Below are 26,463 nucleotides of genomic sequence, written 5' to 3' on the forward strand. Positions count from 1 at the left end.
CTTCGGGAGGCCCAGGCAGGCGGATCACTTCAGCTCAGGAGTTTGAGACCAGCCTGGCAATATGGTGAAACTGTCTCTAAAAAATATAGAAAAACTAGCCAGGCGAGGTGGTGTGTGCCCACAGATCCAGCAACTCAGGTGGCTGAGGTAGGAGGACTGCCTGAACCTGGGAGGGAGGAGTTCAGGGCGCAGTGAGCCGTGATCATGCCACTGCACTCTCACCGGGGTGACAGAGAGAGGCCCTGTCTCAAAAAAAAAAAAGAGTGGTCTTGGGAACCCCCAAACTTGCAACTAGTATTAGAAGCAAGGGTCATCTTATGGACTGGACTCCCTCTTACTCTGCACTCATATTTAAAACCATTAAATATACTGTAGCTCAAAAAAAGTTGCTTGTTTGTTTTGAAAAAGGGTCTCACACTGTCGCCCAGGCTAGAGTGCAGTGGTGCAATCCGAGCTCAAGCAAACCTCCCACATCAGCCTCCCAAGTAGTTGAGACCACAGGCTTACTCCACCACGCCCAGCAACTTTTGTATTTTTTTGTCCCATTCTCTACAACATTCCCAAAATGTTGCCCAAGCTGGTCTCGCACTCCTGAGCTCAAGTGATCCACTCACCTCAGCCTCCCAAAGGGTTGGGATTACAGGCATAAGCCACTGCACCCGGCCATAAATTTTGTTTTTTAATAACATTTCCAGCAAACATGATAAAGATTTGACTTCAGTGTTGCTTATTTTCCTTCCAAGGAACCTCTAATATTCTCTACTTTCAGAACTCCAATCAAATTAGCCAGAAAGAGCAAACGAAGCCAATAAATCCAGGAGGGCAATAGATCTGATTTTAACCCTTGTTTCACATGCACAATTGTCTTCAGAGAAAAGCTGAAGAAAGTACCCCCTCACCTCCATGCCCCAATGCTCCTTTTCTCTGACTTCAAGTGGGCCTCTGATGCTGCCCACATTTCCCTCACCAGGTTTCTTTCCTTTCCAAAACATCTGTAAAACTTTCTGCACCTTTTTCCTTCTCCCACCACTACCAGTGGATGACCTTATAGATTTCTGCTCCATGAGAAACAGAAGCCATTTGACAGCACCCTCAGCAAGAGCTAACATTTTAGCTCCTAACAAGAGCTAGTGGGCAACTGATCCAAGCAGTTTACATATGTTTATCATGTCATTTCGTGTTCAACACAATCCTATTAGTTATAACTTGATAACTAAGGTTTCATAACTGGCCTATGGTTGCACAGCTTGCAAAAGGCAGAGTCAGAACTCAGACCCAGTACTGTCTAATGTTTGAGCTCTTCAACACTCCATCACTGCCTGTCATCTTCCTTCTAATATATCCACAAATTCACCTGCATCTGCACATACAGCTTTTCTTCCCATCATCTTCGCATAATGGAACAAATAAACCTCCTATCCATAGAAATCATCTGTCTATTCCCCCCATTTTCCAAGGTATGTCTTGTCTTTTTTTTTTTGAGATGTAGTCTCGCTCTGTCGCCCAGGCTGAAGTGCAGTGGCGTGATCTCGACTCGCTGCCTCCCGGATTCACGCCATTCTCCTGCCTCAGCCTCCCGAGTAGCTGGGACTACAGGCGCCCACCACCACGCCCGGCTAATTTTTTGTATTTTTAGTAGAGACGGGGTTTCACCATGTTAGCCAGGATGGTCTCGATCTCCTGACCTCGTGATCCGCCCACCTTGGCCTCCCCAAAGTGCTGGGATTACAGGCTTGAGCCACTGCACCCGGCCTGTTTCTTTTGTACGTTGCAAAATCTCCCATTTTACTACTGCTTATCACATCATCAACATATGAGCACTCTCAAAAGTCTTACTTTAAAAAAAACAAAAACAAAAACAAAAAATGGCCGGGCACGGTGGCTCATGCCTGTAATCCCAGCACTTTGGGAGGCGAAGGCAGGCAGATCATAAGGTCAGGAGATTGAGACCACCCTGGCCAACACGGTGAAACCCCGTCTCTACTAAAATAGAAAAAATAAAATTACCTGTGCGTGGTGGCACGCACCTGTAGTCCCAGCTACTTGGGAGGCTGAGGCAGGGGAATCATTTGAACCCGGGAGGCAGAGCTTGCAGTGAGCCAAGATCGTGCCACTACACTCCAGCCTGGTGACAGAGCGAGACTCCGTCTCAAAAAAAAAAACTAAAGGCCGGGTGCGGTGGCTCACGCTGGTAATCCCAGCACTTTGGGAGGCCAAGGTGGGTGGATCATGAGGTCAGGAGTTCAAGACCAGCCTGCCCAATGTAGTGAAACCCCGTCTCTACTAAATATACAAATATCAGCCAGGCGTGGTGGCGGGCGCCTGCAATCCCAGCTACTCAGGAGGCTGAGGCAGGAGAATCGCTCGAATCCGGGAGGCAGAGGTTGCAGTGAGCCGAGATTGCACCATTGCGCTTCAGCCTGGGCGGCAGAGAGACTCCATCTCAAAAATAATCATAATAATAATAAAATAAATTTAAAAATTAAGAAAATAAGGCCGGGCACGGTGGCTCACGCCTGTAATCCCAGCACTTTGGGAGGGCGAGGCAGGCAGATCATGAGGTCAGGAGTTTGAGACCAGCCTGGGCAACATAGTGAAACCCCGTCTCTACTAAAAATACAAAAAATTAGCCGGGTGTGGTGGTGGGCGCCTGTATTCCCAGCTAGTTGGGAGGCTGAGGCAGGAGAACTACTTGAACCCCGGAGGCGGAGGTTGCAGTGAGCCGAGGTCACGCCATTGCACTCCAGACCGGGCAACAGTGTGAGACTCTGACTCAAAAAAAACAAAAAACAAAAAAACCCTTTAACTGCCTTTCTCCCTCTATCAATCTAATAGCCTGGACTCTTCACAGACAAACCTGTTGAAAAATTTATCTTCCTTGCCTTCATTTACTTTTTAACCCACTTTAATCTGGGTTCCACCTGCAACACACCACTGAAGCTATTCCTACTAAGGTAGGAACTGCCACTCAAGGCCTTCTTGGCTCTAAAATCCCATGAGCCTTTTTCAGTTCACCCTACAATTTCTCAATACCACTCTAAAGTTTATGAGTTTTTTAGTTAACTTTAATCCAGTGACTCTTTCTACTTTATCCCAATCCAAGTATTCTCCTCCTTCTTCACTTCATTTTTTTTTTTTTTTTTTGAGACAGACTCTGACTTTGTTGCCCAGGCTGGAGTATAGTGGTGCAATACTGGCTCACTGCAACCTCCACCTCCAGGTTCAAGCGATTCTCCTGCCTCAGCCTCCCAAGTAGCTGAGATTACAGGCCCCTGCTACCACACCCGGCTAATTTTTGTATTTTTAGTAGAGACGGGGTTTCACCATGTTGGCCAGGCTGGTCTCGAACTCCTGACCTCAAGGGATCCACCCGCCTCGGCCTCCCAAAGTGTTGGAATTACAGGCGTGAGCCAACGTGCCCGGCCCCTTCTTCACTTCTTTAACCAGCTTAGATTTCATTGTGTATCATTTCAACAACACTCTTGCCTATACCCTTAACTCTTAAGATTCTCATCACACCCATCTGGCAAAACCCCAATCCTGGATAAACCCAACGATCCATCAATAAGCACCACACTCCCAGGTCCTCCAGTGTTTACTTCCCATTCTATACATGCACTATCCAGACATTCCCATTCTCTTCAAATTCCAAAATATCCTATCACCTCCCCTCCCCATACACACATTCTACTTCACCAACAAGAAAAAAGGTACCAGCTGGGCACAGTGGCTCACGCCTGTAATCCCCGCACTTTGGGAGGCCAAGGCGGGTGGATCACTTGATGTCAGGAGTTGGACACCAGCCTGGCCAAAATGGTGAAACCTCATCTCTACTAAAAATACAAAAATTAGCTGGGTGTGGTGGTGCGCACCTGTAATCTCAGCTACATGGGAGACTGAGGCAGGAGAATCGCTTGAACCCAGGAGGTGGAGGTTGCAGTGAGCCAAGACTGCACCACTGCACTCCAGAGCCTGGGCAATAATAAGAGCGAAACTCCGTCTCGGGGTGGGGTGAGGAAGATACCATAAAATACCTGTACCCGATTCTAGACCTTACTGAGGATTCCATCTACTTCCACCTTACTGTAACTTTTCAAATACTTTTCCCACTGAACTAAATCCCCCCCATAAACATGCAACACTTTCTAATGTATTCCATTGAAAAATACAAAAACATATAAAAAGGAAAAACTCCATCAATCCCACATGTCCCTCCATCAAACAATCTGCCTTTACTTGCTGCAGCCAAACTAAAGTTGTCTAGATTCCCCTCTCCCATTTCTTCACTTCTTCTAGCTCCTTAACACACACTGGTCCAATTTCTGCCCCATCACTCTTGGCAAAATCCATTATGACCTCCAGGCTGCTAAATCCAAGATACAGTTCAGGCCTCAATCTGCTCATCCTTTCAGCAGCTTTCACAGGGCTTCTGAGTAGGGTTGAGCAGTTTTGCCCTGCACACAGGTGCCCTGCAGAGGAATGAGGTGGGCTGAATGAAACTCCTTTTTTAAAAATTCTTGGCTGGCATAGTGGCTCACGCCTGTAATCCCAGCACTTTGGGAGGCTGAGGTGGACGGATCACTTGAGGTCAGGAGTTCAAGGTCAGCCTGGCCAATATGGCAAAACCCCATCTGTTAAAAATACAAAAATTAGCTGGCCGTGGTGGCGGGCACCTGTAATCCCAGCTACTCGGGAGGCTGAGGCAGGAGAATCACTTGAACCCAGGAGGCAGAGGTTTCAGTGAGCCGAGACTGCCCCACTGCACTCCAGCCTGGGCAACAAGAGAGAAACTCCATCTCAAAAAAAAAAATTGTTTATGCCAACTAATTGTACACCTAAATGCACCAAGTTCCTGACTTTCTCCTTGCATTTATTTGTTTATTTATTTATTTATTTATTTATTAGGTCTCACTCTATGTTGCCCACGTTGTAGTGCAGTGTGTGATTACAGCTCACTGCAGCCTTGAACTCCTGGGCTCAAGAGATTCCTCTGGTCTTAGCCTCCCCAGTAGCTAGAACTACAGGTATGGAGTGGCTCTCTGCCTTTATTTCTAACCCAAGCTACCTTACAACCTTAAAAAGAGACGCTGCTTCGCCGGGCACAGTGGCTCTCACCTGTAATCCCAGCACTTTGGGAGGCCGAGGCGGGCGGATCACGAGGTCAGGAGATCGAGACCATCCTGGCTAACACGGTGAAACCCTATCTCTACTAAAAATACAAAAAATTAGCCAGGCGTGGTGGCGGGCACCTGCAATCCCAGCTACTCGGGAGGCTGAGGCAGGAGAATGGCGTGAACCCAGGAGGTGGAGCTGGCAGTGAGCCGAGATTGCACCACTGCACTCTAGCCTGGGCGACAGAGTGACACTCCATCCTAAAAAAAAAAAAAAAAATTTATTATATACATACACACACACACACACACACACATACACACACACACACACACACATCTCCCCAGAAGCATCAATATTTACTGAATTAGAGTATTTCATTACCTGTTATAAAAAACAAACAAAAAAACCTTCCATTATACTAATTTATAAAGGAATCAAAACAAAATGGGTTGGCGGGTCCAGGCACGGTGTCTCACTTCTGTAATCCCAGCACTTTGAGAAGCCAAGGTGGGAACTCGAGGTCAGGAGTTCGAGACCAGCCTGGCCAACATGGCGAAACCCTGTCTCTAATACAAAAATTAGACGGGCCTGGTGACATGCGCCTGTAGTCCCAGCTACTCGGGAGGCAGAGGCACATGAATCACTTGAACCCAGGAGGTGGAGGTTGTACTGAGCCAAGATTGTGCCACTGCACTCCACCCTGGGAGACAGAGTGAAACTATGTCTTTAAAAAAAAAGGCGGGGTGCAGTGGCACACACCTGTAATCCCAGCACTTTGGGAGGCCGAGGCAGGTGGATCACCTGAGGTCAGGAGTTCACGACCAGCCTAACATGGTGAAACCCCATCTCTACTAAATATAAAAAAATTAGCCGGGTGTGGTGGCACATGCCTGTAATCTGATCTACTTGGGAGGCTGAGACAGGAAAACAGCTTGTACCTGGGAGGCGGAGGATGCAGTGAGCCGAGATTGCACCATTGCGCTCCAGCCTGGACAACAAGAGCAAAACTCTGTCTCAAAAAAAAAAAAAAAAAAAAAAAAAAAAAAAAAGTTGGGGTGAGGGGAAGGTTCAACTTAAAGATACAATTACTAAGTGTTTCATAAGGAATGACTTATTTCATAATGGAGTAGGAGTTTGACACCAGCATGGGCAACATGGGGAGGCCCCATCTCTACAAAAAAGTAAAAATAAAAAATTAGCGTGCCAAGCATGGTGGGTCACACCTGTAATCCTGGCACTTTGGGAGGCCAAGGAGGAAGGATCACTTGAGCCTAGGTATTCAAGACCAGCCCAGGCAGCATGGCAAAACCCCGTCTCTACAGAAAACAAAAAAAAAATAAAGTAGCTGGGGGTGGTAACATGCACCTGTGGTCCCAGCTATTGGGAGGGTGAGGTAGGAGGACTTATTGAGCCTGGGAGGTGGAGGCTGCAGTGAGCTGAGATGGTTCCACTGCACTCCAACCTGGGCAATGGAGCGAGACTCTGTTTCAGAAAAAGAGAGAGGAAGCCAGGCGTGGTGGCTCACGCCTGTAATCCCAGCACTTTGGGAGGCCGAAGCGGGTGGATCACCTGAGGTCAGCAGTTCAAGACCAGCCTGGCCAACATGGTGAAATCCCATCTCCACTAAAAACACAAAAATTAGCCGGGCATAGTGGCATGCACCTGTATTCCCAGCTACTTGGGAGGCTGAGACAGGAGAATCACTTGAACCAGGAGGCGGAGGTTGCAAGTGAGCTGAGATTGTGCCACTATACTCCAGCCTGGGCGACAAAGTAAAGCTCTGTCTCAAAAAAAAAAGAGAGAGAGAGAGGAAAAATAAATTAGCCAGGTGTGGTGGTATGCACCTGTGGTCCCAGCTACTCAGGAGGCTAAGGCGGGAGGATTCCCAGAGCCCAGGAAGTCAAGGCTGCAGTGAGCAGTGATTGCACCACTGCACTCCAGCCTGGGCAACAGAGCAAGAGCATATCTCAAAAAAGAGGAAAGAAAAGAAAAGAAAAACATAAAAACAAATGTTCCTTTAGTTTTAATTTTTATTTTTTAGTTTATTATGGCTGTTTTACTCTCCCCCAAGTAAAACAGCCATACACAATTTGCTGAAATTTTCCTTAGTGTACTTTGAAATCTGTGGAACAGAACTGGCAATCGCTAAATTCTATTTGACTCTAGTTCCATTTAATATTAGACTGGTGTGGAAGTAACTGCGGTTTTTGCCAAAACCGCAATTACTTTTGCACCTACCTAATAGGTATAAAATATGTAACTTCACTTAATTTTATCCTTTATGTATCTCCCTATATTATGTACCTATGGACATCAAACTTAGTACAGACTGATAAAAGGCTGAATAGACAACTCTGGTTTCAAAAATCCAGCTTCTCACAACATCAGACATACTAGTATACAGCTTTTCTAATTTCACAACACATTTCCATTTTTTGGTCTTTCACAATAGAGAAGATGTGTGTACTTTTGAATACTCTGATCTGTCTACAATCTACCAAAATTGGAAGGTGTTTTTATTATACAGTTTCATCCTTTTAGAAATATAGAAAGATCCTAAGTTTGGGCACAGTAAGACACTCAATATAGATCTACTACTAAACAAGTAAGACCAATTACACAATTAATGTCCTAATACCCCGAGTGGAGAAGTAAAATCTACTTGTTTTCTGTTGACTTGAATGCCTTCTCTTCTTTGTTGAATTAATCAATCTATTTGACTCCAATGTCAAATTAATCAATGTCACTTTAGAATATTAAAATGTACAATTATGAATTACACATTTAATTTTAAAACACATCATTCTGATCTCTGTCTTGATTGATACTAGAAGATTATCTTCCAAACTAAGGTGGAAAAAATGACAGACTTTAGCTATTGGCAATGATAGGTCATTTTTTTAGGGAAGAGGAGTAAAGAGGGCCACCTCCATAGGTCAGATATCCCTTTGTTCTAAGAAGCCACCACCCCTGTTTCTTCATATGAAAAAAACCAGAGGCATCCAGTGGTTCCCAAAACCTTCTCAACTTTACGCTTGAGGAACCCACAGATTTCAAATAATACAACTGACCTAAAACACTCATTTGTTTAACCATTCTTTTTTTAACTTTTTATTTTTTTTGAGAAGGAGTCTTGCTCTGCTGCCCAGGCTGGAGTGCAGTGGTGTGATGTCGCTCACTACAACCTCTGCCTCTCAGGTTCAAGTGATTCTCCTGCCTCAGCCTCCCGAGTAACTGGGATTACAGGCATGCACCACCACATCCCGCTAATTTATTTATTTATTTTTTTTTAGTAGAGACGGGGGTTTCACCATGTCGGTTGGCCAGGCTGGTCTCGAACTCCTGACCTCAGGTGATCCACCCACCTCAGCCTCCCAAAGTGCTGGGATTACAGGCGTGAGCCACTGCCCCCGGCCTGCTTAACCATTCTTAAATGTCGGGTGCAGTGGCTCACACCTGTAATCTCAACACTTTGGGAGGCTGAAGGTGGGCAGATTGCTTGCGTTCAGGGGTTCAAGACCAGCCTGGGCAACGTGGTGAAAACCCCATCTCTACAAAAAATACAAAAATGAGCCGGGCTGTTGGCAAGCGCCTGTAGCCCCAGCTACTTGTGGATGCTGAGGCAGGAGGCTTGAGCCTGGGAGGTCGAGACTGCAGTAAGCCAAGTATCTGTGCCGCTGCACTCCAGCCTGGGTGACACAGCAAGACCGTCTCAAAAAAATTGACAGAAGAGTTGACTGAGAGCACAGTGAATGAAAAGGAAGACTATAAGCCAGTGCCATATAAATGCTTACTGTTGGAGGTATGCTTCTATGGAACACGGGTTTGCTCTCTTGCCATATGACATTCACATATTCAGCCACCTGGAACACTTCCTGTCAGTATGTGTGAAGTATCATGTGTGGTCAAAATTGTCTCAACAGTCATTTTCCACACCAACTGGCAAACTAACACTAAAAGAAATCAACAAGTATTGCTTTTTCAAAAGCCTAAATCGGCTGAGTGCGATGACTTACACCTGTAATCCCAGCACTTTGGGAGGCCAAAGCAGGCGGATCACCTGAGTCAGGAGTCCGAGAACAGGCCGGCCAACATGGTGGAATCTCGTCTCTACTAAAAATACAAAAATTAGCTGGACGCCTGTAATCCCAGCTACTCAGGAGGCTGAGGCAGGAGAATTTTTCCCTGTAACCGGGAGGCAGGGGCTGCAGTGAGTCGAGATTACACCACTGCACTCCAGCCTGGGAGACAGAGCAAGACTCCATCTCAGGAAGACAAAAAAAAAAAAAAAAAAAAAGCCTACATCAAGGAAAACAGAACCAAAACACCAGGGACAAAATGGTACATAAGAGGCAAAAAAATTTTCACCAAAATTATTCAGATGAACAATAATAAATGTGCCTGCATCTGAAGATGTTCTAAACCTTCATTTAAGCAAGAAGCAAGATCAAGATCTGTTCCGTCAGTTACCTGGAGTCTGTCATCTTTCTGAATAGGGGACAGAATCACCTCAAATTTAACTAATAAAAATTTATGACTTGGCAAACACCCCAGGTATTTTTATTGACTAACAAATCAGCTATGACAATCTTAGCAACAAATCAAGTTATGCTATGGGGTATGTCCACACTTCCCTGTTCCCTCTACAACAGGAGAAAATCAAATTTTTCCAACATCCTAACAAACTGTTATTGCCTGTAACCAAATGTATCACAGTATCGTCTACCAAGGCGTTACATCCTGAAACTTTCCTACAAAAAGCACAGCTTCAAAGAAACCTTGCAAGCTTTCTTGTAAGCTCCTCCCTTCCCCCATCGCCCCTCCCCAGAGCCAAGAAATAAAGCACTTGAAAGAAACAACATGGATAATATTTATTAATAGCTCATGTACATATTCCATAACTACATAAGCCATTTGGCTTCATACCTGTCAGCAATGAAGTCAGCTGGCCCTAGCACGTGGCTGCGACTCTTCTCTATTTATTTAGAACTACAAACTACAATTTACACTTTTCCAAAAGCTGTAGGACTATTTGGGAAGGGCACTTTATTCTTCTAAAAGGTTACTAAATTCTCTTATATACTTATACTGATCACAATACTGAAAAATAATAGAAAATCCATTGTCATTCATTTACCACCTAATTTGTTAGATGCCAGAAAATCAAATTTCACACATTTCAATAAAAAGGCAAAACTAAGCATGTCAATCATAGGAAAAAAAATACTTAATCAACTAATTTTATTTAAAGCACTCACAAACTCTTAAGTGGTACAAGACAAGTCAACGCTGTTTATCGAACAATATTTTTTTTTACGACTAAACATCTCAATTCTAGACTCAGGCACTAATTATTAAAGTCATCTAGTTATATACACCAATTCTCAACAGACACAGTTTTTTTTGGAAAGGCATATTAAACAGACTAAGATGTGTACTACCCATTAGCCAAAGATAATTTTATTGATTTTTCTAACGAGTCTTCAAATGTTACATTCTAACATCTTAGCAAATTATTTCCAAATACTGCTGGAATTACATGTAACTATCAGGAAACAAAAGGGCTTCTCAACAACTTGTGCGTTCTACATTATCTGGCCAGTTTCCGGACAATTATAATACAATTGTGCTCCAAAGTAGGAGAGTTCCATGAATCAATTACCCCTAAAATATATTTCTGTATATTTAAGGAGTTCTAAGCATTGGGTTAAATTCCAAACAGACTCTGAATACAAGCATTTATTTAGTAAGAGAGGTTAGAATAAATCAATCCTAAATTAGGCACAGCTGCCCTCCCCCCATTGATCAAAAAGACAGGAAATTACATTTATTTAAAAAGTTAATGTTCCTAATATATTCAAATCTAACTAAGCCCCAAAACGGTCTGACATCAAATCCTCCATAAAAGAGGAAATTCTCTAGACTTCTAAGTGGGTGCCCAGAGTTCACTCAAGTGTCCAGGTATGAATTACGATTCACCAGAGTAACCGGCCTTGCACTTAGGGAAAACTTCCATCGCCCAAGACCAGAGTAGGTCGATCCCATCAACAGTCACACAATCTCATCTCACGCTCCACTAATGAATGTTCTGCCTAAAGTCAGAGCAATGCCTTAGCTGGAGTTTTGTTTTGGTTTTTTCAATATTACCACGTGGGGGTCACAGAAAGGAACAGAGGTTAGAAGAGCTCTCACGTGGCGGCTGAAAGACTGGGGAACCGAGAAAGTGAATGAGTAACAGGGAGGGTCCTGTACTCTCAGAATCTCCCAACTCGGGGTCAGGGGGAAGCGGTAAGTGGAATGCCCCCCGCCCCCCCACCCCCGCCTCTTTCTCACCTCCTGGTCCCGACCCTAGGCCAGTGCCACCGCCGGGAGCCCCGGGTCTCGGCTTCAGCCCCGGGCTGAACAAGCAGGGAGGGGAGAGGCACTTAGGCCTCGCCTCCCCGCGGCCTTCCTCCCCCAGCCGGGGCGGAGGAGACCCAGGAAGCCGCGCCCGGCTCCCGGGGGTGGAGGGCCTAGGCCGCGCCTCCCAGCCCCGCGGCCCTAGGCCTCCGCCCGCCCGAGGCGGAGCCCGGGAGGTCGGGGCGGGGTCCCGGGCCGGTCACCCACCTGGGTTGCCAGTCATTCCAGCTCCGCGAATAGTTGGTGCCGTTGGTGCCGCCGCCGCCGCCGCCGCCGCCGCCGCCGCTCAGCCGAGACCCCGGGGCTCTGCGGCTCATTACCTTCCCCGACACGATATGGCCAAGCGCCGCCGCCCAGAGAAGCGCGAGTCGCCACCCGAACCGGCCGCCGCCAACACCCCGCTCCGGCCCGGGGCTGAGAAGGAAGCCGAGAAGGAGGAGGAGGAGGAGGCGGCGGCGGGCGGGGGAAGAGGACGACCGTTTCGGGTTCCGCCTGAGCCCGCAGCACAGGACGAGGAGGCGGGAGCGGCGCGGTGAGAGAGAGGCGGATGAAGGGGAGGCGACGTCTCTTCCAGGGCCCTGCGCGGCCCACGTCGCCGGGGCCCCCGAGGAGGAGGACGACGAGGAACAGGCGGTGGCGGCAGCTCCTCACGCTCACACGGCCACTGCTTCCCCGCCTCCCGGCTCCGCTCGCCGCGCCGCCGCTGTCGCACGGCATGCTGGGAGCGAGAGGCGGGGTCGGCCCCGCCGTGCCTGCGGAGAGAGGCGGGTCCTGTCGGCGGGGCGGGGCCGATAGCAGGCCGCCCCGCCCCCCACGGCCCCAGGCTCTTGGACGGCGAAGAGGTCTGGGCGTAGCGGTGACGAATCCTAAGACGGGATCTCCACTACTGCGGCCACACACTTTTCTCCCAAATGCTTCCCGGAAAGCACCGGAGGGCCAGGCAGTCAGGTGTAAACAGGCGTCCAATCAAGGACCTGCGGTGGGGGGGGGGGGGGGGGGCGGGCTGTTGCCCTGGGGTGCGCGCGCACACAGGCGCGCCCTTGGATTCACGTGTGCCAGTTTTCCCACTTTCTACGGGGCGGGGTGGAAAGTGAAAATAGTCAGATCGACAGGTGGATATCCACCTTCCCAACCTCCACCTGAAATGTGCCCATCGAGTCCTAGCACCTTTTACCATTTCTTCCCAATGAAAAAAACTAAACGATGGAAGGGAAGGGAGTACCCACGACCACCAAACCCTGTCCTCTGCAATGTGAAATGTGCTTTGAAGTCCTCTCACCCTGAGGCTTGCCCGCCTTCTGCTGGTGAAAGAAGCTGGGGGCTAGGCGCGGTGGGTCACGCCTGTAATCCCAGCACTTTGGGAGGCCGAGGTGGGCGGATCATCTGAGGTGAGGAGTTCCAGACCAGCCTGGCCAACATGGAGAAACCCCGCCTCTACTAAAAATACAAAAATTAGCCGGGCATGGTGGAGGGCGCCTGTAATCCCAGCTACTTGGGAGGCTGAGGCAGGGGAATCGCTTGAACCCAATAGGCCGAGGTTGCAGTGAGCCAAGATCAGACCATTGCAGTCCAGCCTGGAGAACAAGAGTGAAACTCTGTCTCAAAAAAATATAAGAGAGAGAGAGAGAGAAAGCAGGGAGGGAAGAAAAAGGAAGGAAGGAAGGAAACGAGGGAGGGAGGGAAGGAGGGAGGGAGGAAGGAAGGAAAGGAGGGAGGAAAGGAAAGAAAAGGAGAAAAGAAAGAGAGAAGGCCGGGCGCGGTGGATCACACCTGTAATCCCAGCACTTTGGGAGGCCGAGGCGGGCAGATCTCGAGGTCAGGAGATCGAGACCATCCTGGCTAACACAGTGAAACCCCGTCTCTACTAAAAATACAAAAAATTAGCCGGGCGTGGTGGCGGGCGCCTGTAGTCCCAGCTACTCCGGAGGCTGAGGCAGGAGAATAGCGTAAACCCGGGAGGCGGAGCTCCCAGTGAGCAGAGATCGCTCCACTGCACTCCAGCCTGGGCGACAGAGCAAGACTCCATCTCCAAAAAAAAAGAGAATCAGCTGGGTAGAGGAGACGTACCTGACTGTCTACCCCATGACATGCCCCATGCCCCAGGGAAAAAAATTCCCTAAAGCATCTGATGCATAACGTGAATGCATACACATTTTTTAAAAGGTGGGCCAGGATGCTCCTTAAACAAGTGCCTAAACCTTATCTGCATAAGGAGTCTTAACCTATCATTTTATGTTGCAAAGAAAACGTCTTTATATATCGCTTGTGCAATTAAAAATTGTTACCAAAAGTACTTGAAGATTACGAGGAGTTGACACCTCCACACACATGCATATCCCCTCCACCTTGGGCTCCTTGCTTATGGCCACCAATCCCTCACTAAGGGAGGATCTTGCCAGTTCTAAATGATGGGGACTACAAAAATTACAAAAATTACCCGGCGTGGTAGCGCGTGCCTGTGGTCCCAGGAACTCAGGAGGGTGAGGCAGGAGGATGACTTGAGTCCAGCGGGTGGAGGCTGCAGTGACCTATGATCCTGCCACTGCACTCCAGGCTGGGCTGCGGAGGGTAGGGAGGGAGGGAGAAGAAGAAAGAGAAAACGCGGGGCACCATGGATGGCTGACTCCTGTAATCCCAGCACTTTGGGAGGCCGAGGTGGGTGGATCACTTGAGGTCAAGAGACCAGCCTGACAAATATGGTGAAACCCCGTCTCTACAAAAAAATACAAAAATTAACCAGGCATGGTGGCGCACGCCTGTAGTCCCAGCTATTTGGGGAAGCTGAGGCATGAGGATTGCTTGAACCCAGGAGCCAGAGGTTGTAGTGAGCCGAGATCGTGCCACTGAACTCCGGCCTGGGTGACAGAGCAAGACTGTCTCAAAAAAAAAAAAAAAAATCATTTAGATGAAGTGATTCATGCCTGTAATTCCAGTGATGGGAGGCTGAGACTGGAAGATCCTTGAGCCTGGGAGTTATAGGCCAGCCTGAGCAACATAGTGAGACCCCCATCTCTACAAAAAAAATATTAAATTTTTTTTTTCAGACGGAGTTTCACTCTTGTGGCCCAGGCTGGAGTGCAATGGTGTGATTTCAGCTCACTGCAACCTCTGCCTTCCAGGTTCAAGTGAGTCTCCTGCCTCAGCCTCCCAAGTAGCTAAGATTACAGACACATGCCACCATGCCCGGCTAATTTTGTATAAAAATTTAAAAATTTTTAAAATTAGACAAGTTAGAAATTGCTTGAGCAACTGGACACAATCTCTGGTACTACCTTTCTTTTTCTTTTTTATTTTTTTATTTTATTATTATTATTTTTTGAGAAGGAGTCTCGCTCTGTCGCCCAGGCTAGAGTGCAGTGGCGCAATCTCGGCTCACTGCAAGCTCTGCCTCCCGGGTTTAAGCCATTCTCCCGCCTCAGCCTCCCGAGTAGCTGGGATTACAGGCGCCCGCCACCAAGCCCGGCTAATTTTGTTTTTTTGTATTTTTAGTGGAGACGGGGTTTCACCGTGTTAGCCAGGATGGTCTCAATCTCCTGACCTCGTGATCCGCCCGCCTCGGCCTCCCAAAGTGATGGGATTACAGGCGTGAGCCACCGCGCCTGGCCCTCTTTTTCTTTATTGGTCAAAATATTATCCAACTAGGCATATGGATGTGGAGGCATGCCTGTGATCCCAATTACTTGGGAGGCTGAGGTGGGAGAATCGCTTGAGCCCACGAGTTTCAGGCTGTGGTGAGCCATAATGGTGCCTCTGCACTCCAGCCTGGGCAACAGGATGAGACCATTTCTTAAGGGGACGGAAAAAATCACTCTGGCTGTGGCAGATTTCCTTAGGATAGATTCCGAGAAGTGGAGTTATTGGGGAAAAGGCTGTTAATGATTTTAAGTCTTTGGATACAGACTGTTAAGTTGCTTTCCAGGAAGTTTCTGCCAATGATAGTGTGATACTTTCTGTGTCCTCACACCACCCTTTGTCAACACTGAGTGTTTTTGAGGGTTAATTATTTCTATGAGAGAAGTTAAAAAAAAAAAAGACAACAAAGAAATTGCTTCAGGTGGGGCATGGTGGCTCACGCCTGTAATCCCAGCACTTTGGGAGGCTGAGATGAGAGAATCACTTAAGCCTAGGAGGTGGAGGTTGCAGTGAGCCTAGATCGTGCCACTACACTCCAGCCTGGGCAACAGAGTGAGACTCCATTTCAATAAAATAAATCAAATGAATCAAACGTGAGCAACTCTCATAACTTCCAACATTTTTTTCTTCTTCCTGTTGGTGGTTCTGCCTCTCTGGCTCCATTAGGATTTCCCTACTCCATTTCAGTCATGGGAGCCGAGTTTCTGTTCCTGAAACACACCAGGCCTTTCTGGCCTCTGGATTTTTGTACTTGCTGTTCCCGCCATCTGGAATGCCTTCCCTGCATTTGTTCCCATCAGGGTTGGGACTAGCAAAGTGACAGGTGATGGAGTTGCTGAGGGTGCAAAATTTAAGGAGGCACCTACTCCCAGGGTCATGCAAAAGCCAACTTTGCATTTGCACAATCCTGTGAGTGAGTCCCTCCTTAAATTTGAGGCTGTACTGTAATCCCAGCTACTCAGGAAGCTGGGGCAGGAGAATTGCTTGAACCTGGGAGGCAGAGGTTGCAGTGGGCCGAGATCCTGCCATTGCACTCCAGCCTGGGCAACAGGGCGAGAATCCGTCTAAAAAAAAAAATGAGGCTCTAGGCACCACATTTGCCCTACTCTGGCCCCTGCCCTGATTTTCCTGGCCTGTCTCATCTCCAGACAGGTTTGCTTTGACCTCCCTGCCCATAAAAGCTGGCCAGTGCCCTTTCCAGGTACTCTGTCATATACCCTATTTCTTTCCTTGGTAGTACCCAGCACCATCTGCAAGTATTGGGTTTCTTTGCACATTTAGCATCTGTCCAACCCTTAGTATATCAGCTTTGCAAGAGCAAAGGTCACATCTATCTCAGCCTACCTCCTCCATACTCAGCACACAGCACAGCACCTGACCATAGGAAGCACTCAAGAAATGGGAGGAATGAAATGGAAATTATCTAAAATAAGGATCAAGATTGATACAGAAGTATTCATCTCAGTTTTACTTATTAATAGCAAAACAAAAACAAAACACCTGGAAACTATACTAATGCTCAACAATAGGAAACTGATTAGGATGCAGTACATTCAGAGCTGAAATTTTCTGCAGCCATTACAAATTATATTTGTGAAGATTTTTTTTTTTTTTTTTGAGATGGAGTTTTGCTCTTGTTGCCCAGGCTGGAGGGCAATGTCTCGATCTCGGCTCACTGCAACTTCCGCCTCCCGGGTTCAAGCGATTGGTCTGTCATTTTCAGACCCCACAGAAACACAGGTGCTCCTGCCAGGCCCCCGGGGACTGCCTCCAGGAGTCATTTGTAATGACAGGGTGCGTTCTGCGCACGGTTTCAGAGTCTGTCCAAAGGGCCAATGCTGGGGCTGGGGCAGAAACGGTCCAAGGCCTGTGAGCTGTGCAGCTTTATAGGCAAATGAAGATCGTTTACCCAGAATTGCCTGCTGGAGAGAGCATAGAGGAAGTGGCGGCAGCTTCACCAGTTCCAGGAAGCCCAGGCAGCCTGGTCCCCCAGGGTGCACCTGGCACAGCAGTTCGCACAGGGCCAGAGAGCGGCAGCTGACCGCTGCAACTACAGCTGGCCTGACACCGGGCACAGGTACCAGCCCAGCCCAGTCCCGCCCAGCGCAGCCTGCGGCCCCTAGCGGAGCCAGCACCTGGCAAACCTGACACCCAGCCTTGGAGCTTGGGCCCCCCTCTGCAGCTGGCTGGGGCTCCTGAGACAGCTTCTTTGTCGGAATCCACTCGGTACACACACGGTCCCTAACTTAGTGGCTGCCCAGTGAACATGGGGCTTAGTAGAACCAGTACCTTCCTCCCTGGCCCCTTCAAGTCTAAATATCCCCTGCTCTGAGTACAAGCTTCCACCTTCTCCACCGACAGACAGCCCCCACCATCTCCACCGACAGACAGCCCCCACCATCTCCACCGACAGACAGCCCCCACCATCTCCACCGACAGACAGCCCCCACCATCTCCACTGACAGATAGCCCCCACCATCTCCACTGACAGACAGCCCCCACCTTCTCCACTGATAGACAGCCCCCACCTTCTCCACTGATAGACAGCCCCCACCTTATCCACTGATAGACAGCCTCCACCATCTCCCGTGTCATCCCCTGGGGGGACTTGTAAAAGCAGTGGTGGGGGAGTGGGATGGAAACCCAGAGCTTCTGATCAGGCAGGTCGGGGGAGAGGGAGACAACACATCTGCACAGAACAAGGTCCCAGGGAGGCCGGCGCTGCTGGTCCAGGGAGCACCCCCCAGCACAGGCGCGTGCTTCCCTGATGGACACGTCACCGCCCTGGGCTCCAGAAAATGAATGTCTGACCCAGTGACCCCTGTCCTCACCCAAGGCCAACCTCACCCCAGAATGGGCTGGAATGCTGAGCCTGCCCATGCCGGCTCCAGATCCACCCGCCTCCCCACCATTGCTGGCCACAGAGAGAGGTCAAAATGGTCCGGAAACCCCAAGGAAAATGAAGCAGTTCCAGGGCAGGGAAGCAAAGGCAGTGTTTCCTTTTTTTTTTGAGACGAAGTCTCCCTCTTGTCGCCCAGGCTGGAGTGCAATGGTGCGATCTTGGCTCACTGCAACCTCCACCTCCTGAGTTCAAGCCATTCTCTCACCTCTACTTCCCGAGTAGCTGCAGCCTCTGCCTCCGGGGATCAAGTGATTCTCCTGCCTCCTGCCTCAGCCTCCTGCCTCAGTAGCTGGGATTACCGACACCTGCCACCACGCCCACCTAATTTTTGTATTTTTAGTTGAGACAAGGGTTCACCATGTTGGCCGGGCTGGTCTCGAACTCCTGACCTCAGGCGATCCACCAACCTTGGCCTCCCAAAGTGTTGGGATTACCGGAGTGAGCCACCGTGCCTGGCCAGGATGGTCTGCTTATAATGGCTCAATTTTGATGTCCAGTCTCTGCAGAGCACAAGGCCCCCGCTTTGGGCCAGACATACAGATGTCCCTGGGCAAGCACAGAGATGATCCCAAGGCCCTGGCCCCACCTGTCTGCTCAGTGTTGAATCAGGTTTCTGTGAAAACAAATTACTAACAGGCTGGTGTCACATTTTCAAATTCTGTCACCAGGCCTTGAACACATGTCTTTGTACTTTTTTCCATTTTTAACCGGGGCTGAGTTACGCCCAACCACACTGTCCTGGCTGGCACGGGGGAAGAGGTGTCAGCTGCTGTCCAGAATGGGGCTGACACATTCATTTTAAACAGGCCAGGAAGATGCAGATTTGGCAAGCTCTGAAATTTGCCGACACCCCAAGTCGAGGGTAAGCAGGAGAACCAGAAAAGGGCAGCTTCTCATGTGGTCAGGTTCTCCTGATGCAAGCGTCCTGGTGGATTTGGGTTTCCCAAGGGTCCTGACTCCAGGAGACCCCCAGGACCGACAGGAAGGGCCACCCCTCCCTCTGAAACTCTGAAGCCAGGCCACCCGGTGCTGAAATGCTGTGTGAACTCGGGAAAGTTCCTTCGCAGGGACTGAGCCTCCCTTTCCTGTCTCCAACAGACTGGAACACTGCCTCCCATTGTATGGGTGAAATACCTCGCGGACATGTCTTACGGCGCCCCATGAAAGCATCACCATTAATCTGACCAGTCACCGCAGCATTAGTATCTTCAGGGCACAGATGAAGCCGTGGGCACCAGTGATAAGGAGTTGCCACTGCTGGCTAAGTGCGGAGCCTCACACATCTGTGGCCCAGAAACCCACACCCCACTCCAAACCCTCTATAGCTCCAACAGTTATGCTAACAAGAAAAAGGAGTGAAAACCCGCTCCAGTTACGGTATTGTGGAGGTGGAGGACACTTGTGGCAGCCAATCCAACACCTCCATTTTATAGCTGGTGTAAACATAGTTCAGAAAGGTTGTCCCACTTGCTGAAAGTCACACAGCAGTTCCTGGGCGGCAAAGTGAGGACATCCAGGTCTCCTAAATCTCACCCTCGTGCTCTGCCCACTTGACTGGGCTTTTCAATCCTGGCTGTCAAAGAGAAGCACCAAGTCCACTTGGGCTCCTGGCCAGCATCCAGGCCAGTCCAACTCAACAGCAAGCGGAAGCAAATACCACACAATGAACTCGTTGAACAGACTCTGCGCTCAGGCTTAACCAGTGCACAGCCTGCACACCCGACAGGCGGATACAGCTGTTCCAAGCTAAGGCCAGGGCCTCTCCCCAATCCCAATGGGCTCTGCAGGTGCAGTGATGGAAGAATCCCTGGTGACAGGGAGCCCTTAGCTCTGAGCAGGACCTGAAGCCATCTCAGGGCTTGCACCGGTCCAGATGCTGCTGCACAAGTGCTACAGGGGCTCCTGCCCTGCCCTCCTCACCTGCCCCCTCACCTGTCAGGGATGTTTGATTCCTGGCTGGCCCCTCCCCTACCTGACCCCTGCCAAAGACCTACGCCACCCCAGGCTCCCAGCTCTGAAGCAAACGCCAGAGAAGTCAAGCGCCTGGCTGCGGGCCACACAGCTTGAGGGACTCAGAGCTCCAGGGACAGTGCCCGGGCCCTGCTCAGGCCTTCTGCAGAGGCTCTGGGCTCTTCCAGTTGACTCAGCTCACAGGGCCCCTACACGGTACCAGGTGAAGACACAGCCCCAAGAACTCCCAGGCTCTGAAGCCACACATGTGAGCTGTGGGCAGAATCCTGCATTGGCCTCCAGCAGCTCGAGAGCACAGGGACAAAGCTGGACTGGCCCCAGGGTCACCGTGGCCTTGGTTTTGTAGCAGCTGCAGTTTGAGCACGTACACCAAAAATAAAATTCTAAGCCCCCTAACTGACTGAAGGGACCCCTCCTATTGGCCAAAGGGATATTCCAAAGTTAACCTGAAAAACGAGCTCAGGTCATGATGGGAAGAAGGGTCACACAGGCCTTGTTATACCCCCTCCCTCTGGAATTCAGGTACAGCTGACCAGCACTAACATTCAAACACAGATCTTGGCCTGGCTCAGTGCCTCATGCCTGTAATCTCAGCACTTTGGGAGGCTGAGGTGGGCAGATCACGAGGTCAGGAGTTCGAGACCAGGCCGACCGACATGGAGAAACCCCATCTCTACTAAAAATACAAAATTAGCTAGGCATGGTGGTGGCAGGCACCTGCAATCCCAGCTACTTGGGAGGCTGAGGCAGGAGAATCGCTTGAACCAGGTTGCAGTGAGCCGAGATCATGCCACTGCACTCCAGCCTGGGTGACAAAAACAAAACAAAACAAAACACAATATTGGTCTCCACAACCTCCTGTCTTACCCAGATACTCCTTTCTATTGATTCCAGGTCTTTAGCTAATAACTCTTTCAACCAATTGTGAATCAGAAAATCTTTTGCCAGGCACGGTGGCCCATGCCTGTAATCCCAGCACTTTGGGAAGCCAAGGTGGGCGGATCACCTGAGATTAGGAGTTCAAAACCAGCCTGACCAACATGGTGAAACCCCTGTCTCTACTAAAAACACAAAATTAGCTGGGCATGGTGGTGCATGCCTGTAGTTCCAGCTACTCGGGAAGCTAAGGCAGGAGAATCACTTGAACCCAGGAGGCGGAGGTTGCAGTGAACTGAGATCACGCCACTGCACTCCAGCCTGAGTAACAAAAGCATCTCAAAAAAAAAAAAAATATATATATATATATATATAAAGAATAAAGAAATCTTTGAACCCACTTGTGACCAGGAAGCCCATCCCCACCTTGGAGTTGTCCCGCCTTTCTCGGCAGAACCAACAAATACCTTTCACATACTGACTGATGTCTGCCTGTAACTTCTGTCCTTGTACAAGGTATGAACTCCAGCTGTGGCCCACCCCCTGGGGCACATGTCCTCAGGGCCTCCAGGCCTTGGTCCTCACATTTAACTCCGGATAAATCTCTTCAAATATTTTACAGAGTCTAGCTTTCTCGTTAACAAGCAGCTCACACATATAGTGTCTCAGCAGTGACAGATGCTGGCCCACCCCGAGGTCAGGATGACTCAGCAGGGATCGAGTTTGCGGGCGTCACGCTCCAAGGCCCGGAATAGGAGGTTGGTGCTCATTCCTCACATAGTGGGCAAATCCTAGGGCAGGGGAGGGGCGGGCAATGCCAGAGAATGGTCCCCACCTGGGGCGGTCTGACGGCCAGGGATGCAGAGAAAGAGACGCCTCCCACGCTCCCGGAGGGCACGAGCTGTGGCCACCCCGGAGGGTCCGCCTTCCAGAGGGAGAGTTCAGGATTTGGCCACAATCAGGGAAGGAGACGCTGCGGGGGGGCCCTCCTGTTGGAAAAGGGCAGCGGCAGGAAGGGGGTGCTGCCACAGGGCCTCTGGGGAGCGCGCGGGCACACAGTACCAATCTGCGTGCATACACATGCCCTGTCCCTGCAGACGGGCCAGGCAAGGCCTGCCCATGGCCAGCCATCCAGGTGATGCTCCAGGGAGGGCCAGGCCTACTGGGGAGCAGAACCCTGTGGCTGTCCAGGATACCTGGATGTGAGTCTGGGAAGGATGGAGAAGGGTGGAGGAGCGCGAAGAGCCCCTAGGGGTTGCTGGGGAACACAGATGAGCCTCTGACCCACCTGTGTCCTTACCTGGGCCGACTGGGCCACCCAGTCTTGCTGACACCTCCCCAGACCCCTGGCACCCACCAGACTCCCCAGGCGTGGCTGTGTGCTCCCCTATGCCTGAAGACAAACGGTGGCCTCAGTGTAGAGGTGGGCACTGTGGCCCCTGGCTCCTGGCTTGCTCCTGCCTCAGTTTCCCCAGCTGTAAATTGGGGATTATCACTGGCTTCAAAGGCTGGAGTGGAAAGTGGTGGCCAAGAGGTGCCAAGAGGTGGTGCAAGCGTGTGCCCTACCTTGGACACCCCTCTCCAGGGGGTGGCTCTCACCCTGGCCTGGGCCCTCGGGGGTCTGCACAGCCCACCCTTCTGTGTGAAGGCGGCTGGTACACATTCCTGGGCAAGATTCTGCACATTCTGCTGGATTATGAAAGAGGTCTGTGACCCAAGGAAAAAGGGTCAGAAGTGCCCGTTAGGCTCTCCTGTGTGGCTCAGGTCATGTGCTTCTGTGAACTCGCCCTAGGGCCTTGCCCCGAATCCCGTGATGCAGCGTGACCTGCCCAGGCGCTGGCGGCACTTTCATGTCTGGCTGGGAAAGTCGGATTTCAGCACTAATCACTGGCTGCCGCCTGCAATGAGCCCACGGCTTGAGCTCTGGGGCCCACCCAGCTCCTTAAACACGCAGAACCTTTGCTAGCTGAGCCAGGGTCCCAGCTGTGGGGGGTTGGGGATGGAGGGGTGCAGGGATCCCAAAACCCAACCCGGGGCCAGGTTTTACACAGGCCTGGACTGAGAAGTGGGGCTACAGGCTACAGGTGCTTGATACCCCGGGGGGGCCCTGGAACAGGCCTGGACTGAGAAGCGGGGCTACAGGTTACAGGTGCTGGATACCCCAGGGGGGTGCTGGACACACCAGGGGGGCGGATAGAGGCAGCCAGGCAGCCTGAAGACCCTGGGGCAAAACACACACAGGCCCCCTCTGCTCTCTGGTCACTGCTAACTGGCCAACTGGCCTTTGAGTCCACTGACCACAGCTAAGCCCACAGCCATCAAAACCCACCCCTTACACCCTTCACCCTTTAGGGAGGGGCTCAGAGACAGTTGTGGCGATTCCTACTTCCACCCACAGCCCCCCGACCCTGGGCCTGTGCCGAGTGTGGGTGGGTGACATCATCTTGCACCCAGAGCTCCAGACTAAAGGAAACCCTGGCTCCTGTCTCTGGCTCTTCCCTCCCTCTCTTTGTTCCCTTGCTCCTTTCTTTTTGCCAAAGGAGAAGACAGTGAGGCTGAGGGCTGCTCAACATGCACAGTGAGCAGGAGATACAAGCACGTGGAGGGACGGTCACAGCCCGTGCAACTGGCACCTTCACACACGGAGGCCTGTGATTCCCAGACACCTGGCGCTGGGGCAAATCCCATTCCACAGCCAGAAACAGGCTCGGCAGGGCCAGGTGGATTTCTCAAAGCCTTGGTTGCTTTTGGCCTGACGCTAGCTGGACAATGTCTCAGCTCACAGGTTCCTAAACGCACACCCGCCCACACCAATCTGCTGAGGAGTGACAGCCATGGGGAGGAGACCCACCTCACTCCAGGGACCCTGGCACCGTCTCCCATGAGGCCAGGTGTCCTCAGCCACCCGCAGCCAGAGTCCCGCGAGACCGATGGACGGCCTGCCCCTGCGTGACGGCACGCCTGGGACTGTCCCAGCAGGCTCCCATGCTTCACCCAACTGGGACAGGGAAACAGGAGGGGGCTACTTCTGCTTTCAAGGCATGGAGGAGCTGTCTGCAGGCCACTTCCCGAACACCTATGCGCTTGGGGAACTGACTGAGACTGAGCCGGGGTATCTTCTCCACGATGTGGTGAGCCCATCAGGCCCTTCTTCTGAGAGCACCTCCCTGGAGGTGGAAGCCCCTGAGGCCCACAGCATCTTCTGAACCTGTGAGTTCCCACTTACTGAGAGCTCGCCTGGGCCAGTGCCAGTCCACGGCTGTGGCCGGGACTTTGAGTAGATGCTACCCTACTTGCTATGCAGAGCCAGCTGGGGCCCAGGGAGGTCAGATAAACTGCCCAAACCAAATCCAGGCCCAGCCAGAATCTCAACTCCAGCCTTTGCGCCTTCTGATAAAACCCAGCATTGCTTGAATTTCCAGTACACGCTGCCAAGTCTTCATCAAGCAATAAATAACCCACACAACCCTACTGTCATGCCAAGTTCCATATGGCCATCCAGAAAGAGACACATGGAGCTGGTTCCTCTCATCTTTATGACCCGTGAAAAGCGCACCAACACGAAGACACGCGTGAAAGGACCTCATCTCCTAACCAGACTGACAAGCAAGGGATTTTTTCCACTCACCGTCAGTGGGATGGTTCTAAGCACCGAGGCCAACCCATTTCACACGATTATTTCACAAAAAGAAACTTTCTGTGGGACGTGCCTGGGCGACTGAAAAGACAGCCAGCAAAACTGAGAACCTTGTTCGCAAATCCGTACCCTCTCCCAAGGCAGCCTCAGAGGCCCGAGGGCTGAGGATCCAGACCCGAAAGCCACTGTACCTTCTGTAGGATCAGGCTCAAGGACTAAGGGGGTAAAAGGTGCCCTTTCCCTTCCTAAGCAGAAAATTCTGGAACCCAACCTTATGTGTGATCATTTAAAAAAAAAAAAAATCAGCTGGGTACACTGGCTCACGCCTGTAATCCCAGCACTTTGGGAGGCCGAGGTGGGCGGATCACCTGAGGTCAGGAGTTCGAGACCAGTCTGGCCAACATGGAGAAACCCTGTCTCTACTAAAAAATGCAAAATTAACCAGGCATGGTGGTGCATGCCTGTAATCCCAGCTACTCGGGAGGCTGAGGCAGGAGAGTCACTTGAACCCGGGAGGCAGAGGTTGCAGTGAGCCGAGATCGTGCCATTGCACTCCAGCCTGGGCAAAAAGAGCGAAATTCCATCTCAAAATAAATAAATAAATAAATAAATAAATAAATAAATAAATAAAATAAATCACTTTCTATGGCTTTTCACTGCTCCAGGAACAATGTCCACAGATCAAACGCCGAGCCTCTCCTTCACACCCTGGAGCGCCCATCCTGCCCACTGGTCCGGGCTCCAGGCTGCCCCCTGCACCTGTCAGAAGTCCCCCTACAAGGGCAGGGTCTCCCTTCCTGGGACATCCACTGCCCTTCTCCGAGCTGAAGTCAGAACGACCTGAGAATCAGCTTGGAGTTCTACCAGACTCAGCCAAGCCCACCTCTGCGACAGCACTCCTTTCAAGGGGGCACCAGCTGCAGGGAGTCTGTCCCTTACAGACCCGTGACCCCGTGACAGATGAATAAAGTACAGACACACAGATATTCTGCTCTGCCAGTCCAGCTGAGTGTTCCAGCCGCTTATAGGCTCCCTGCTGAGTCCTGTAAACAGTTGCTACTTGGCCCTGATCAGCTAGTCAGACGCGCATTTATTCAGTATGATTAATTAACAAAAGCTTGAGTCAACACCATTAGAGTGTAACAGACATTGTGGACTTACCGGGTAAAAAGCATTTAAGCACCCAGGGTCTTAAGATTATATGAGTAAACAAGCTAGCTAGGTAAACTACTCTGCCTTTCTTTTATTTCTATGTTTATTTGTTTAACTAAAGGTAAAGGGATCAGGCCGCCTTCAGCCAGAGCTAATTACCAAAGTTATGCCAACTTCTCGGCCTTCCAAGATTTGTGTCTATTTCTATAACTACCTCTAATATCTTTCCCACCAGAATGATTGAACCCCAACACACCTCCCTCTCTCAGCAGGGTCTGCCTGTTCAGAGAACACAACTTCTCCTTCTCGCCTTACACACAGGGGCAAGAATAGATTCACTCTTGCAGAGAGCACATCCCTTTCTGTTACTGAAAATCACTTTCCAAAAAAAAAAAAAAAGCAACACATACACACATACTCACCACATACACAGGTGGGTCAGAGAAAAAAAACAAGTACAAATGGCTTAGGGACATGAGAAGTGTGGCCCTAACTTTCGCTGAAAGGGATCCTATTAACATTAACCCTCACCTCTGGGTCAGAAGGGTTGGCACTCTAGAGCCTGCCTTGAGGCTTTACCTACTGGGACCAAAAGGACTGCTGGAAAGCTATTTTAGGCCGGGTGCGGTGGCTCAAGCCTGTAATCCCAGCACTTTGGGAGGCAGAGGCGGGTGGATCACCTGAGGTCAGGAGTTCAAGACAAGCCTGGCCAACATGGTGAAGTCCTGTCTCTGCTAAAAATACAAAAAATTAGCTGGGCATGGTGGGCACCTGTAGT

General features: G+C 50.3%; 1 long non-coding RNA gene, 1 other non-coding gene and 1 pseudogene across 3 annotated transcripts in view, besides 16 other annotated features; 1 reads left to right on the forward strand and 2 right to left on the reverse strand.

Moving 5' to 3' along the window:
• Positions 1–12,226, reverse strand: part of SMG1P3 (SMG1 pseudogene 3) — a 55,599-nt pseudogene extending 43,373 nt beyond the window's left edge. Inside the window, exon 1 of the transcript NR_027155.2 lies at positions 11,722–12,226. The product of NR_027155.2 is annotated as an SMG1 pseudogene 3 (transcript). The remainder of the gene's footprint in view (positions 1–11,721) is intronic.
• Positions 1,855–2,356: an enhancer, noted in NCBI's record as "H3K4me1 hESC enhancer chr16:21503231-21503732 (GRCh37/hg19 assembly coordinates)". NCBI's record gives its function as "activates a minimal SCP1, AML or CMV promoter by ChIP-STARR-seq in primed H9 embryonic stem cells {active_cell/tissue: H9 hESC(primed)}" and the evidence as "EXISTENCE:reporter gene assay evidence [ECO:0000049][PMID:30033119]".
• Positions 11,411–11,927: an enhancer, noted in NCBI's record as "H3K27ac hESC enhancer chr16:21512787-21513303 (GRCh37/hg19 assembly coordinates)". NCBI's record gives its function as "activates a minimal SCP1, AML or CMV promoter by ChIP-STARR-seq in primed H9 embryonic stem cells {active_cell/tissue: H9 hESC(primed)}" and the evidence as "EXISTENCE:reporter gene assay evidence [ECO:0000049][PMID:30033119]".
• Positions 11,476–11,785: a silencer, noted in NCBI's record as "silent region_7252". NCBI's record gives its function as "represses an Ori minimal core promoter by ATAC-STARR-seq in GM12878 lymphoblastoid cells {active_cell/tissue: GM12878}" and the evidence as "EXISTENCE:reporter gene assay evidence [ECO:0000049][PMID:35858748]".
• Positions 11,876–11,925: a silencer, noted in NCBI's record as "silent region_7253". NCBI's record gives its function as "represses an Ori minimal core promoter by ATAC-STARR-seq in GM12878 lymphoblastoid cells {active_cell/tissue: GM12878}" and the evidence as "EXISTENCE:reporter gene assay evidence [ECO:0000049][PMID:35858748]".
• Positions 11,928–12,443: an enhancer, noted in NCBI's record as "H3K27ac-H3K4me1 hESC enhancer chr16:21513304-21513819 (GRCh37/hg19 assembly coordinates)". NCBI's record gives its function as "activates a minimal SCP1, AML or CMV promoter by ChIP-STARR-seq in naive and primed H9 embryonic stem cells {active_cell/tissue: H9 hESC(naive and primed)}" and the evidence as "EXISTENCE:reporter gene assay evidence [ECO:0000049][PMID:30033119]".
• Positions 11,928–12,455: a biological region, named in NCBI's record as "H3K27ac-H3K4me1 hESC enhancer GRCh37_chr16:21513304-21513819".
• Positions 12,036–12,085: a silencer, noted in NCBI's record as "silent region_7254". NCBI's record gives its function as "represses an Ori minimal core promoter by ATAC-STARR-seq in GM12878 lymphoblastoid cells {active_cell/tissue: GM12878}" and the evidence as "EXISTENCE:reporter gene assay evidence [ECO:0000049][PMID:35858748]".
• Positions 12,106–12,455: a silencer, noted in NCBI's record as "silent region_7255". NCBI's record gives its function as "represses an Ori minimal core promoter by ATAC-STARR-seq in GM12878 lymphoblastoid cells {active_cell/tissue: GM12878}" and the evidence as "EXISTENCE:reporter gene assay evidence [ECO:0000049][PMID:35858748]".
• LOC124903662 (uncharacterized) lies at positions 12,256–20,416 on the forward strand. The gene is made up of 2 exons (XR_007065024.1): positions 12,256–12,462; positions 19,148–20,416. It is a non-coding gene; the product is annotated as an uncharacterized LOC124903662 (long non-coding RNA).
• Positions 12,444–12,960: an enhancer, noted in NCBI's record as "H3K27ac-H3K4me1 hESC enhancer chr16:21513820-21514336 (GRCh37/hg19 assembly coordinates)". NCBI's record gives its function as "activates a minimal SCP1, AML or CMV promoter by ChIP-STARR-seq in naive H9 embryonic stem cells {active_cell/tissue: H9 hESC(naive)}" and the evidence as "EXISTENCE:reporter gene assay evidence [ECO:0000049][PMID:30033119]".
• MIR3680-1 (microRNA 3680-1) lies at positions 15,994–16,080 on the reverse strand. The gene has a single exon (NR_037451.1). It is a non-coding gene; the product is annotated as a microRNA 3680-1 (primary transcript).
• Positions 19,079–19,248: an enhancer, noted in NCBI's record as "experimental_43023 CRE fragment used in MPRA reporter constructs". NCBI's record gives its function as "activates a minimal promoter by MPRAs in K562 erythroleukemia cells, with activity observed for both the introgressed and non-introgressed 16:21520540 variant alleles {active_cell/tissue: K562}" and the evidence as "EXISTENCE:reporter gene assay evidence [ECO:0000049][PMID:34662402]".
• Positions 19,227–19,777: an enhancer, noted in NCBI's record as "H3K27ac-H3K4me1 hESC enhancer chr16:21520603-21521153 (GRCh37/hg19 assembly coordinates)". NCBI's record gives its function as "activates a minimal SCP1, AML or CMV promoter by ChIP-STARR-seq in naive and primed H9 embryonic stem cells {active_cell/tissue: H9 hESC(naive and primed)}" and the evidence as "EXISTENCE:reporter gene assay evidence [ECO:0000049][PMID:30033119]".
• Positions 21,382–22,218: an enhancer, noted in NCBI's record as "H3K27ac-H3K4me1 hESC enhancer chr16:21522758-21523594 (GRCh37/hg19 assembly coordinates)". NCBI's record gives its function as "activates a minimal SCP1, AML or CMV promoter by ChIP-STARR-seq in naive H9 embryonic stem cells {active_cell/tissue: H9 hESC(naive)}" and the evidence as "EXISTENCE:reporter gene assay evidence [ECO:0000049][PMID:30033119]".
• Positions 21,759–21,838: an enhancer, noted in NCBI's record as "active region_10555". NCBI's record gives its function as "activates an Ori minimal core promoter by ATAC-STARR-seq in GM12878 lymphoblastoid cells {active_cell/tissue: GM12878}" and the evidence as "EXISTENCE:reporter gene assay evidence [ECO:0000049][PMID:35858748]".
• Positions 22,219–23,054: an enhancer, noted in NCBI's record as "H3K27ac-H3K4me1 hESC enhancer chr16:21523595-21524430 (GRCh37/hg19 assembly coordinates)". NCBI's record gives its function as "activates a minimal SCP1, AML or CMV promoter by ChIP-STARR-seq in naive and primed H9 embryonic stem cells {active_cell/tissue: H9 hESC(naive and primed)}" and the evidence as "EXISTENCE:reporter gene assay evidence [ECO:0000049][PMID:30033119]".
• Positions 23,969–24,058: an enhancer, noted in NCBI's record as "active region_10556". NCBI's record gives its function as "activates an Ori minimal core promoter by ATAC-STARR-seq in GM12878 lymphoblastoid cells {active_cell/tissue: GM12878}" and the evidence as "EXISTENCE:reporter gene assay evidence [ECO:0000049][PMID:35858748]".
• Positions 25,280–25,788: an enhancer, noted in NCBI's record as "H3K4me1 hESC enhancer chr16:21526656-21527164 (GRCh37/hg19 assembly coordinates)". NCBI's record gives its function as "activates a minimal SCP1, AML or CMV promoter by ChIP-STARR-seq in naive H9 embryonic stem cells {active_cell/tissue: H9 hESC(naive)}" and the evidence as "EXISTENCE:reporter gene assay evidence [ECO:0000049][PMID:30033119]".

The sequence above is a fragment of the Homo sapiens genome, chromosome 16 (assembly GCF_000001405.40).
Source record: "Homo sapiens chromosome 16, GRCh38.p14 Primary Assembly".
In the NCBI taxonomy this organism is placed as follows: domain Eukaryota; kingdom Metazoa; phylum Chordata; class Mammalia; order Primates; family Hominidae; genus Homo; species Homo sapiens.